This window comes from Homo sapiens, chromosome 5, assembly GCF_000001405.40.
Source record: "Homo sapiens chromosome 5, GRCh38.p14 Primary Assembly".
NCBI classification, from domain to species: Eukaryota; Metazoa; Chordata; class Mammalia; order Primates; family Hominidae; genus Homo; species Homo sapiens.
In genome coordinates this window covers 114,210,469-114,224,163 of record NC_000005.10, presented here as the reverse complement: position 1 = coordinate 114,224,163, position 13,695 = coordinate 114,210,469, and the positions used below count along the sequence as shown (strand labels likewise).

Genomic DNA, 13,695 nt, shown 5'->3' with positions numbered 1-13,695 from the left:
TCTGAAAACCACAGTTCTGTGGTCAGCTGAATTACTATTAGGCTCTACCAAAAGGGGGCACCAGAGAGAGATATTAAAATGCTAGAAGAGAGAGAAAGAATACTTTCCCTCTAGGCTGTTTCCTGTTCCTGTTTTGTTTCCTGTTCTCAGCATCACTGAACACTGTTTCACCCTGGTAGTAGCTAGTTGTTCCAATAGTACAACTGATTCTAGTTTGCATTTTTTTCAACAACCATAGAACCAACATTGTTCTGCCCCCTCACAGGCCCCAGGTGCTGCCAAATGGGGCCCCCTTCTTCAAAGGTTTGGGTCCTAGCCCCACACAGCCCTTCTGTTGCATTCCTGAGGCAGCATCACAACTCAGCAACACCCCTTCCTCAGAAGTTCGTCTTAGTTCATTGAGTCCTTCATCCAAGCTTCTAAACTTTAAAAACCAACCCTAGCCTCATCCTTTTATTCCCCAGCCTTATAGATGCTCTGTGAAAAATGTAGTGTTGTCTTTTTTCAGGTTGTCAATTCCTGGCTGACAATTCTTTGTATTAAATTCTCTTGTAAAAACAATTGCTGTGATTTCTATCGCCTAACTGGACTCTGAAAAATACACTTCCCTGTCTATTTTGGCTGTCTGTGCATGTCCAAGGAGACTCCTGTCTTAATTTCAAAACCATTAATTTTATTAAATGTGAAAATGATCATCATATATTATTTATATATTTTACTGAAATGTTTTCAAATATGGCTAAAGAAAAACAGATATGGGTCTCCTTCTTGGTCATAATCTCAAAGCAGTTCAAGATGACTTTGAAAGGGAAAATAAGCATTTCCAAAAGATTTTTCTCCAAACAAGTTTTTCTGAAGCTGCGAAGAATCAGAATCCTCACTGTATGTCTTTGGAAATCATTTCATTCCAGTAGACTAATTAATTATGGGTTACTTTTCCATGCAGACCTTCAAAACTGTTAGTGTCAAACGATGGATGCTATCAATTGACATGTATTTGTGCCCAGGTATTGATATTTCTTTAACTCTTGACCTAAATTATATATCTTCTTTTAAACATGTAGTGCAAGAACACAAAAAAATATTTATTAGGTTTACATTTTGTCTTGTAGAAAATCAATGAATGCTACTGACTGTTAGTAGTCAGAAAGATGGACAGCATGAAAGCAGAAGAGACCTCAATAGAGATTATGAGAGATGGCATTCATCTGCTGCCCTAAGATTAAGCGTTTAAATATAAACAAATACATTCTGTGGCAGCTCACTCACAGCAAGTAGTCACACCACCAGTTTCAATAATCAAAGACTGCAGATGAAAAGGTAACACAGCATACACAGAACCTGGACTTTTTAAACAGCTGACTTATTAGGAAGTACCAAGTGAAGGCCTATTTTGAGACCAAGATCACCTTTCACCAAAAGTCTAACTTTTAACATTAATGTCTCATTCAGCTTCTTTTTTTTAATCACTGTCTTATGGTAAAAACAAACAAGGGATATGATTCCCTGCGCTGAAATTGTGCCATACCCACAGCTTAATTGAGGAAGAATTGACATTCCCATCCGATAATATAGTACAGTTCGCAAATTTTCAAATCAACTTATTTGCACACTGAGATACATGAAAAATGCAGTTTGCCATTCTTGAGCACTGTCATTCACATATCAATCCCCTAATGACTTCATGGTCTCAGAATCAAATATAGCCCTAAAGTATTTTGGGGAAGGCCCTCAAATACTTAGTTCAATTTTTTGATATTCATTGCCTGTCCATGTAGCCCTTTCTGGTATGGTAGTTCTAGGCAACAGTCATATCAAAAAAATATCTTTGAGGCTGCCTTTGGTATGGTGTGCCTAACGATACCATGCAAATATTGTTTACTAGGGTCTTACAGCTTCCTGCTGAGAGGACCCTGCTTACGTTCTTAGATTTTCTCTGATCCCCCTCATTTACTCCCCTTTTTATTCCTTGCTTAATTTTTTGAAAGGAACTACAGGAGACCTTGCAAACTATTTTTGCATTCTGCTTTGGATATACTTTCACTGAAGCATTAAATGTTTATCTGGCAACTAGACAATGAGGCATATAAGTAAAAGAAAAATAAATCTCAAACATATTATCTAGCCATGCACTTTAACTTGTTTTAACCTCAACTTCTTGGTGAATTAGTAAGGTGTATTTCATCATCCTCAGTTTCAATGAGAAAACAGGGTCGAAAGAAGCTATAGTATTTTGTTCCAGAACAAAGATTAATTAAAAGTAGAGCTAAAACTACAGCATATTTTCTGATACTTAATCTCACCAAAATGCTATCTCTCATCAAAAACTATTCTTAAAATTCAAATGAAAATACATTTGTTTACTGGAGAAATATTTTTGTGTGCCTATTATGTTTTCTTAATGCAGTGGTGGTGGGCTAGTGAGAGAAATAGGCAGGTAATACATAAAAAAGAATGAATCACTAAATTGAAAATAGTTTAAACTATAGGCAGATAGTTTAGTTGAAATAAATTCAGCTGACCTAACTTTTGTTTTCAATAAAATCACTTATTTATATTAGAACTAAATGTACATATTTTACTACTATTTTTACTCACTGTTATTGCTTATATCCCACTCCATTCCTTAGATTCATTTTTCCTCTTGCTGGAGTCCATCCTTTTGTAGTTCTCTCAGCAAGAATCTGTAAGAGGTAAATTCTATTAGTCTTTGTTCAAAATTTGTTTCATTCTCTCTTTTAAATAATAGCTTTGTATTGTATAATCTGAGGTTGAGTTTTTTCCTTGGCATTTAAAAATTTTATTCTATTACCTCCTAGCATATATTGTCAGTAATAAAAACATCTACAGTCAGCTTAATTATTGCTATTTTGTAGAAAATCTTTAAAACAATTCCTAGATTCTATCACTTTGCACCTAGGGCCTATCCATGTGCACTTGTGTAATTCTTGCCCTGTACAAAGGAATACAGCTAAGCAAGCAAGTGGGGGCTGAAAACCAGGCCATGGGACACTCACTCAAGTCATGAAATTAAAGAACAGCATCTGCCAGAGGGCACTGTTTTCTGTCTCACATAAACGTGTCATATAGGATAGTGGTGATATTATAATGCATACAGAGTTGAATTTATTTTTACTAGCATATTTACTACTTGGGTCACTGTATGAGAACTGTCTTCCTTCAATTCAGAAGAAATTCTCATTAATTCTTCAAATCTTGCCTCTTTCCATTGTTACATTTCTTATTTGAACATATACCAGGAATATGTTGGAACTTTTCGACCTATCTTCTGATCTGAGTCTTTAACTTGACTTTAACTTTTTTTTTTTTTTTTTTTTGAGATGGAGTCTAGCTCTGTCAGGCAGGCTAGAGTGCAGTGGCACGATCTCAGCTGACTGCAACCTCCACCTCCTGGGTTCAAGCAATTCTCCTGCCTCAGCCTCAGTGTTTTGCTCTGTGTCTTGCTATTTATTATCTCTTTAGCCATGTTCACTTGTTAATTTTAAAATGACCATAATTTTCAATGCCAGGATTTCTAATTGGCTCCTTTTCTGCTAATCCTCGTATTAAGTCTCATTTGTCTGTTTGTATTTCATAATTCCTTTCTCTTTTTTTAAAAAACATTTCTGTATCCCTTTCAGAATTTTAAAAATACTTATTTTACAAATAGTTTTTGAAAAACTGCTTTAGTATTTGTATTTCTTTGGATAATTTACTTGATTATTGAGTTTATTGGCCCTATTTCATAAAATTTGGCTTTAATCTTCTTGGGTTAGATTTTTTCCTCTCTCCTGCCCACTACCATGGTAAAGTAGCATTTAGATACTTTAAATATATGTTTTTAAATATTTTTTCCAGCATTGCTATCTTGAAAGTGTTGAAGGAGGTGTTTATTAATATATCAATTGGCAATACCATTTTAATTAGAAGTTTGAAATACACATTTCTAATGTATTATTTGTTAAGCCAAGAAGAGGTCCTAAGATATGTTATAGGTTTGGCTTGCAACATTAGCATTCAGAACTTTGTTTTACACGGCCAGTTTTTCTAATTACACAGTCCGAAGAGTAGCCAACTATATGACCTGTAGGCCTAATCCAACCTGCTACCTGTTTTTTTCTTAAGGTCTGTAAACTAAAAATTATTTCTAAATTTTTTAATGATTGCTTAAGAAATATAGAATAATATGCAACAAAGACAATTTTTGACCCACAAAGCCTAAAACTTTTACTGTCTGGCCCTCACAGAAAAAGTATGCTGATGCTTAACATACAGTTTATCTATAGATGCTATCCCAATTATTTTTATTTTTTGATTATTTTTGATAGACTTTAAAGATTAATTTTAGATTTGCAGTAAAACTGATAGGAAGGTGATAGGGACAAGGGCAGAGAAATTCTAGGCAGAAAAGGGCAGATCCCTGGCAAAACCCCACCCTCAAGCCAAAAAACCTGCAACCACAGCCCGAAGTGAGAACTTATATCCCTGATTTCCTGCTTGAATGTTACATCTTCCTAAAGCACATATGGCCCCTCCCTGCCCCATCCTGTGCCTATAAAAACCCCAGACTCAGCTGGTAGATGAGATTACAGCTGGACATTGGAGAGAAGCAACCTGACTTCAGAGGGACACCTTGACAGTTTAACTTCAAAGAAGAATCTGGCCAGAGACAGGTGGACTTCAGGTGAGGATTACCTACCCACCCCGTACCCTTTTCAGCTCCCCTTCCTGCGGAGAGCCACTTTCATTGGCAATAAAATCCCCCACATTTACCGTCCTTCAATTTGTTTGGGTGACCTCATTTTTCCTGGATACCAGACAAGAGCTTGGGAGCCATGAGTGCAGATACAAAAGGCTGTCACACTGACCCTTTGTCCTTGCTGGCGGAGGGCAGCCACCTCACACAAAAAGGCAAACAGCCTACTAAGCTTTTAACATTTAAGTCAGCCATGGATGGCAGAGCTAAAATAGCACTGTAACACATGCCCTCTGGGGCTTCAAGAGTCACAGGCACCCCTGCCTGGATGCTGCTGCAGGGCCTGCAAAGAGTTCACTCCCGCTGGTGCCCAAAAGCAGCTGGCTGAATCCCATACTCGCTTACCTACTTGCTCCCTCCCACAAGGAGTTGAGTGTGGTGAGCCAAGTAAATGGAGTTTGTTCCTGCCAGTTCCCAAAAGTGCTTGCTCTGGTTCCTGCACTTCTTTGCTCACATGCTCCTTCCCATGAGGAGTTGAGAGTGGTAGGCTGAGTGAACAAGGTACCATGCCACAAGTCCCATGAAGGTGTCAGAGAAATATCGTGCTTCAAAGGTACTGAGACTTCCCATGTACACCTAGCCCCACATGTGCATAGCCTCCCCGATTTCAGCATCCCACACAAGAGTGGTATATTAGTTACAATTGATGAGCCCACACTGAAACATCATTATCACCCGAAGTCCATAGTTTACATTAGTATTTACTCTTGGTATGTACATTCTATGGTTTTGAACAAACGTATAATGACATATGCCCACCATTAAACAGAGTAATTCACTGCCCTGAAAATCCCCTGTGCTCTAACTATTCATCTGTCCCTTGTGCCAACCCTGAAAATCACTGACCTTTTTGCTGTCTACATAATTTTACCTTTTCCATAATGTCACATAGCTAGAATCATACAGTATGTAGCCTTTGAAGATGGATTCTTCAGTTTAGTAATATGCATTTTAAGTTTTCTCCACCTCCTTTCATGGCTTGATAGCTCATTTCTTTGTGGTACTGAATAATATTCCATTGTCTGGATATACCATAGTTTATTTATCCATTCACCTGCTGAAGGATATCTTTGTTGCTTCCAAGTTTGGGCAATTATGAACGAATAAAGCTGCTATAAACATCCATGTGCAGGTTTTTGTGTGAACAGAACTTTTCTATTCCTTTGGGTAAATATCAAGAAGCACAACTACTATGTAATATAGGAAGACTATGTTTAGTTTTGTAAGAAGCCAGTAAACTGTCTTCCAAAGCAGCTGTACCATTTTGTATTCCCACTAGCAATGAATGTTGCTCCATATCCTTGTCAGCATTTGGTATTGTCAGCATTCTGGATTTTAACAATTTCAGTACTTGTGTAGTGGTATGTCATTGTTGCTTTAATTTGCATTTCCCTTATGATACATGATATGAAGAATCTTTTTAAATGCTAATTTGCCATCTGTATCTTCATTGGTGAAGTAATGTTCAGATCTTTTGCCCATTTTTTTAATTTGGTCATTTTCTTATTGTTGAATTTTAAGTTCTTTGTATGTTTTGGATAACAGGCCTTTATCAGATGTGTCTTTTAAAAATGTTTTTTCCAGTCTGGGCTTCTCTTTTTCTTCTTTTGACAGTGTCATTTTCAGAGCAGAAATTTTTAATTTTAATGAAGTCCAGCTTATCAATTCTTTCTTTCATGGATCACGCCTTTAGTGTTGTACCTAAAAAGCCATGACCACACCCAAGGTCATAAAAGATTTGTCCTATGTCATCTCCTACAAGTTTTATACTTTCGTGTTAACATTTAGACAGGTGATTCATTTTAAGTTAATTTAGGTAAACCATATAAAGTCTGTGTCTAGATTCCTTTTTTTTGTATGTGAATGTCCAGTTGCTACAGCACCACTTGTTGAAAGGCTATCTTCACTCCATTCTATTGTCTTTCCTCCTTGACTATATTTGCTTAGTTGACTACATTTATGTGGCGATTTTTTTCCCCTGGACATTCTGGTATGTTCCATTGATGTATTTGTCTATTTTTTGCAAATACTTGATTATCTTGATTACTGTAGATTTAAAGTCTTGAAGTTAGGTGGTGTCAGTCTTCCAACTTTGTTTTTCTTCGGTATTGTGTTGGCTGTTGTGGGTCTTTTGATTCTTTCATATAAACTTTAGAATTAGTTTATTGATATCCACAAAATAACTTAGTAGGATTTTAATTGGGATTGCATTGAATCTCTAGATCAAGTTGAATGATGTATTGATGATATTGAGTTTTCCCATTCATGAACATGGAATATCTCTCCATTTATTTAGTTATTTGATTTCTTTCATCAAAGTTTTGTAGCTTTCCTCATACAAGTCTTATACATATTTTGATAGATTTATACCTAATTATTTTATTTTTTGATGCTAATGTAAATGGTACTGCATTTTAAATTTCACATTCCACATGTTCATTGCTGGTATATAGGAAAGCAATTGACTTTTGTGTATTTACCTTGTATCCTGCAACCTTGCTATAATTGCTTATTAGTCCCAGGAAGGTTTTTAAAAATTTTTTTCTGCATAGATAATCACGTCATCTGTGAACAAAGACAGTATTATTTCTGTCTTCTCAATCTCTATACTTTTTACTGCCTTTCTTGTCTTATTGCATTAGCTAGAACATCCAGTGCAACAATGAAAAGAAGTGGTGAGAAGGGACATTCTTGCTTTGTTTCTGATCTTAGTGGGGAAGTTTTGAGTATGTTGGTAGCTGGTGGGTTTTCGTATATATTCTCTACCAATTTAAGGATGTTCCTCTCTATTACCAGTTTGCTGAGAGTGTTTATATTGGATTTTATCAAATGCTTTTTCTGTATCTATTGATAAATTCTAATGATTTTACTTAAAAATATCTTGAGTGAAGCTCATAAATTTACCTTTACATAAGAACTTCAGATTCACATGGTCCAATGACAACATTGTGAGATGCCTCATAATATTCATGGGTATACATAATGGTTTCAGGGATTACACTTTTGAGACCCACCAACCTACATTTTCCCAAAGTGTTAACAACTGATTCAAATCAATTAAGCATCCATAGCTGTCACTGATTGCAGAGCCATATGTTAATGTCAATTATCTTCTACGTTAGTCCAATGTAAATACCACACATATGTTTCTCAGACAAAAAAATGAGGAAATAATTTACTTTGTTTTTCATTGTTTCTCATGTTGTTGAAATTCCAAACTGTTTTCATTTCTTGGTGTAGTAATGTTGGACTGATGAGAGAAACAGAAAATCACTGATTAAGAAAAGTGAGTTATTAAATTAAAAACCTTTGGAAACCATAGAAAGGAGAATTCCAGTTGAAGTAAATTTACCAGATGAAAGCTAACATTCTTTTACACAAAATATGTTGAGTTCTATATTATAATTTTTTAAGAAACCAAATACTCATTTGTCCCTGAGGATACTTTGGGTAATCGGCTAGTTCATTAAAATGCTTTTAATTCAATGTGGTAGAGAACTAGAATGTATTTATCTCTTAGTCTTATTCTAGGTACTAAAAACTGCTGACAAATTTTGGCCCAGACAGAAAATTTATACCTACTTTCTAACATAAAGGTGCAAAAGGAGCTTCAAAAAATTATTTACAGAACTATTTTCCAAATAATGTGGAGGCTACAGGTGATGTTCATTTAGTTATAAGAAAACAGTCGATTATTGCCATCTTGTCTCTTCCCAGAGGCAGGTGTCCAGGGAGTAATCAATGCAGAAACACACAGTGAAAATTTCGATGTGCAGAGAGTGGCTCAAGGAGGGAATGCAAAAGGGGTGTCCGATTTGTAGCATAATTTTATGTCTTGGGTTCTACCCTGATTTATTGATTTAACTATAGCAAGGAGACAACTGTTTTTCAAAGCCTGGAGTCAAGCATGATCCCTTCCTGCCTTAGAGTGTTAGTCCACAAACAAGCTCAAAGGGTTCTGTGTCACCAAGTATAAGGAATATGTTTCACAATGAAAAAAAGTAACTCTCCTTTGTTATTCTTTATCTAGCTACTGGTTTCTTACTCCCAGCTTACTATAAAGCAAATTTTCTGCTTTAAATTCACCATTTAGAAATTTTCTTATTATTCACTGTGGCAGAAAAGATAAAAGTGATTATGGCTTCTATCCTGAGCTTTGGATCCTGGTTACAGCTGACAACTCTATATTCTAGTAGGAATAAAATCTTAAATGACTGCTATCTTGCTGGCTTCCTATACAATACAAATACGAACTGTGAACCAAGTCCTTTTGACAAATGAAAATATTTCATTAAGCCTATTCAAGTTATATTCTTGACAAAGCAAAACATTCTTGTCACCAAATCAGTACACTCCTCCTCCCTCCTAAGCCTGTGGTTTTGTGGAGGTAACAAGTAAACAATTCCTCTGATCTTGGTTCCAAATAAATAATACCAGACTATATTACTCATTTGGAACCAATGATACTACCTGTTTCTTCTTACCAAAACCACATGAGTATAACCTAAAAGTTATTCATTGATGGCTTTACTAAATTACTCTTTTCGATTAACATTGAGGTTGCTTTTAAAATTTTCGCTCAGGGAAAGTTGTTTTTTGTTGTTTGTTTTATTTAGGTCTTGGATGACTGAAAGGCACTCAGGTTGTAGTTTCATCTTGGCCAAATTATAAATATTGATTATGGTCCCATTAATCCATTTTCATTATTTCATTCTTTGAAAGAAGGCATCTGAGCCATATGGGGAACCCAAAAGAACACAGCAATGAACACAGGAAAAAACCTCAGGAATTGTGGGGAGTCCTCCACCTCTTCTTCAAGCACCAGTGCTACTAGAATCTACCCTTACCTTTGTCAACTTTTTCCTCTTAGTCAATTTTCGATACCTAGCTATTTCCTCTGGGGCTTTGAAATGCCCATGCTTTAGTTGAGTGTTTGCCTAGTACCAAGAATGTAATAATCAATCTGGCTGGAGCAGAATTTAGCTTCATTACCAGGTGTTCATTATTTCTGCTTTTTTAAAAATAAAAAAATTATCATCATCTAAGTCATGGGTGGACAAACGATAGCCCACAGGCCAAATCAAGCCCGTCATCTACTTGTGTAAACAAAGTTTTATTGCATCACAACCATGCTCATTCTCTATACATCGTCTATAGCTGTCTTCATGCTACAATGACATATCTGAGTAATTTCAACAGAGACTGTATGGCATACGAAGCTATTTACTAATGGCATATGAAGCTATGGCATATGAAACTATTTACTAATTACCCTTTTAAGGAAAAGTTTGCTGACCCCTGGTCTAGAATCCTGACATTATGTATTTAGGACTTTCTCTAAGCTTTCTCATCTATAAATTGGGGCTAGAACCTGTCTCCTAGGATTCTTGTGAGGATGAAATTAGGTAATGTATGTGAAGCACTTAGCTCAGGGCTGGGTAAACACTCAATAAATGTTAGTGTTGTGGGGACTTGATGTCTCATTTGAAGCTATCTATTCGAACTCTTTCTTGTGAAGCAGTTCAGTACAGAGAACAAGAGCTTTGAACTTGGGTTCAATTCATATAGTAGAGGTTACTACTTGTGCTGTCTTAAGCAACTGTTCTACTTTTCCTTTCTTCTCCCTATAACAGGAATAATGAAAGCTACCATGGAGACAAAGAGAAATCCTTAAAACTTTCAAAGACAGCAAGACCAACGGCAATAATAAGACAAATTGCATGCAATGGACTGAAGATCATAACAACAGACTTAGCCATTGCTGGGAATGAAAAAGAAAGAAAAAAAATGCTTTCAATAGTTTGAAGGAAATAGATTTTTTACCAGAATTCTCTACTTAGCCAAACTATCAACTAAATGTGAGGGTAACATAAAGACATTTCAGGAATGCAAATTATAAAATCACAAAAACAAAACAAAAACCACTCATAAACTCTTTCTTGACAATTTATTGGAGGATGTACTGAATTAAAAAAAGAAGAAGAAGAAACTGAAACAGAAAAAAAAAAAGAGAAACCAAGGAAGAGGGAGATGTGTTATCTGGAGAGATCTGGGAAGAAGATGAGAATTGCAGTGTAGATTTTATAGATTTTTAAATCTCTTTGAATTCCCCAAATTGAAACAGCAAATAGGATAAATTAAACAAAAACTCATGGGCAATATCTATAACAAAACTTTGTGACAGTGTATGCCCCAACATCATGAAATATGAGTTCAGGGAAAGAACCACTGGAACAGCAAGACCTGAATATTATCAACTATGGAGACAAAGGAATTTCTAATGGCCTTGAGAGCTAGAGGACCAAAACTTTGATCAATTTTCCATTGGTTTCGTGGTCTCAAATTAGTTTGTAATCTCTTCTTCTCCCTCCTTTTCTTTCCCCCAGCATCTCATTTACAGGGGTATCCATTTATTCCCAGAAGTACTCCAAAGGCAATTCTCCCTCTCTTAATTAATTGCATTATATCTACATTGTAAGAAGATATAGCTTTACGCATGCTACTATAAAAACATTCACATAATTTATCGTATAAATCAGAAAAGTTTTGAGGCTGAAAGAGGCCACTACTAATTAGGCCAAGACAAGACCTATAATCTGGACTCTAATGGCAAATTGGATATATGATCATCTTATTTATAAAAATCACTCAGTCTTACTACTAAAGGTAAATATATATTTCATGTTTATCACCTGTTCTTACACGGATGTCCTTCCAGTCATTTTGGTCTTCAGAAGCCCATTGTCTAGTAGATTTTGCACGAAGAGCTTATGAAAGCATTTTTTTTTACTTTAGACTTGAAGTTTAGGCAGAGTGAAGAAAAATGTGATTCATATTTTCTTTTTATTAAAAACTTTTTATAACAGCTTTATTGATATATAATTCATTCACTCATTTAAATTACACAATTAATTAGTTTTTAGTACATTCACAAGATTGTTTAACCATCGCCACAATTTTAGAACATTTTCATTACCACTGAAAGAAACTACCCCTACTATCATCACTACACATTTCCACCCAACCCCTAGGCAACCACTAATTTACTTTATCTCTATAGATTTGCCTATCATCAGCATGCCACACCAAGGGAATTATGCACCATGCAATCCTTTGGACTAGGTGCTTTCACTTAACACAATGTTTTCAAGGTTTAGCAGTACTACTGTATGTATCAATCAGTAACTGATTTCCTTTATGGCCAAATAATATTTCACTATAGATTTAGAATAAAGAAAACAAGATTAATATTTGAATGAAAATAAGAGCTGACAAAAAATTTTTAAGTGGTTTCACCAAATGTTTCTTCTTCATTGGCATTATGACTGACATAGTTATCGAATTAAGTATAAGATATACACTTAACATATATTTAATAAATGTAATAAGTACATGCTCATATAATAAAATATATAATATTTTAATAGTATAAAGTGTTGCTATACTTTAATATAAAGGAAATATTTTAATACTTATTTTAATATAAATTTTAATTGAATTAAAATATAGGTAATTCATGAAACCAACCACAAATGGAGTTACTAATATGGAGGAGTAGTGAGCCCAAATAAAAGTCTGAACATTTCTACAAGTAGTAAGGATAGAAATAAGGTATATGCAACCTTTTTCTGTCTATATAGAAAATAGCACTCTCATTAAAGTCATCTTTTAATGTGTCAATTACTGTAACATCTTTTTAACTTTTAGATACAGGGTACATGCACAGGTTTGTTATATAGGTAAACTCGTGCCATCGGTTTTGGTATATAGATTATTTCATCACCCAGGTACTAAGCCTACTACCCAACAGTTATCTTTTTGATCTTCCTTCTCCCACCCTCCTCCCTCAGGTAGGTCCCAGAGTCTGTTGTTCCCCTCTTTGTGTCCATGAATTCTCACCAATTAGCTCCCACTATTAAGTGAGAACATATGGTATTTGGTTTTCTGTTTCTGTGTTAGTTTGCTGAGAATAATGGCCTCCAGCTCCATCCATGTTTCTGCAAAGGTCATGATCTCATTCTTTTTTATGGCTGCATAGCGTTTCATGGTGTATATGTACCATATTTTCTTTATCCAGTCCACCATTAATGGGCATTTAGGTTGGTTCCATGTCTTTGCTATTGTAAATATTGCTGCAGTGAACATACTTGTGCATGTGTTTTTATGACAGAACAATTTATATTCCTTTGGGTACATACTCAGTAACGGGATTGCTGGATCAAATGGTATTTCTGTTTTTATCTCTCTGAGAAATCGCCACACTACTTTCCACAATGGTTGAACTAATTTACACTCCCACCAACAGTGAATAAGTGTCCACTTTTCTCCACAACCTTGCAACCATCTGTTTTTTTTTAACTTTTTAATAATGCCATTCTGACTGGTGTGAAATGGTATCTTGTTGTTTTGATTTGCATTTCTCTAATGATCAGTGATATTGAGCTTTTTTTATATGCTTGTTGGCCACACATATGTCTCTTGAAAAGTGTCTGTTCTGTAACACCTTAAACATTCCAGTTTTGCCAGAGTGAAGGGCCCTCACATTCAGTGAACAAAGCTATGAGCTGCTACGTTTCTAGATAAGAAATAGTTTAAACCCTTGAGGTCAAGTATATACTAATAAAACAGTGAACATTTCATTTCTAATAATTGAGGCATAAACTATTCACCTCTTTGTGCTTCCTATCGTCGTTAATAACTACAATTTGGCTTGATGAGTATTTAGATGCCTCTCAAATTTAAATTTAAAAATTACTATAGCATTTATAGATTAATTTTCACACTTTGGTTTTATATATAGCAAAATTCACTCACATATAATCACAATGGTATATACATGAAAAGAAATATTTTTCTGTGATTATTACTTATGTCAAGGTTGGCTTGCCATAAAGACTACTTTTACAAGCTTGTATACACAGTGAATTCTCATTATTTGC

General features: G+C 35.2%; 1 protein-coding gene across 3 annotated transcripts in view; it reads right to left on the bottom strand.

Annotated features, from left to right (window-relative positions):
* KCNN2 (potassium calcium-activated channel subfamily N member 2) overlaps positions 1-13,695 on the bottom strand; it is a 440,519-nt gene that overhangs the window by 272,333 nt on the left and 154,491 nt on the right. For all 3 annotated transcript variants that reach the window (XM_047417166.1, NM_001372233.1, XM_011543389.2), the window contains one exon: positions 2,599-2,684. The gene's annotated coding sequence lies outside the window, so the exon portion shown is untranslated. The remainder of the gene's footprint in view (positions 1-2,598; positions 2,685-13,695) is intronic.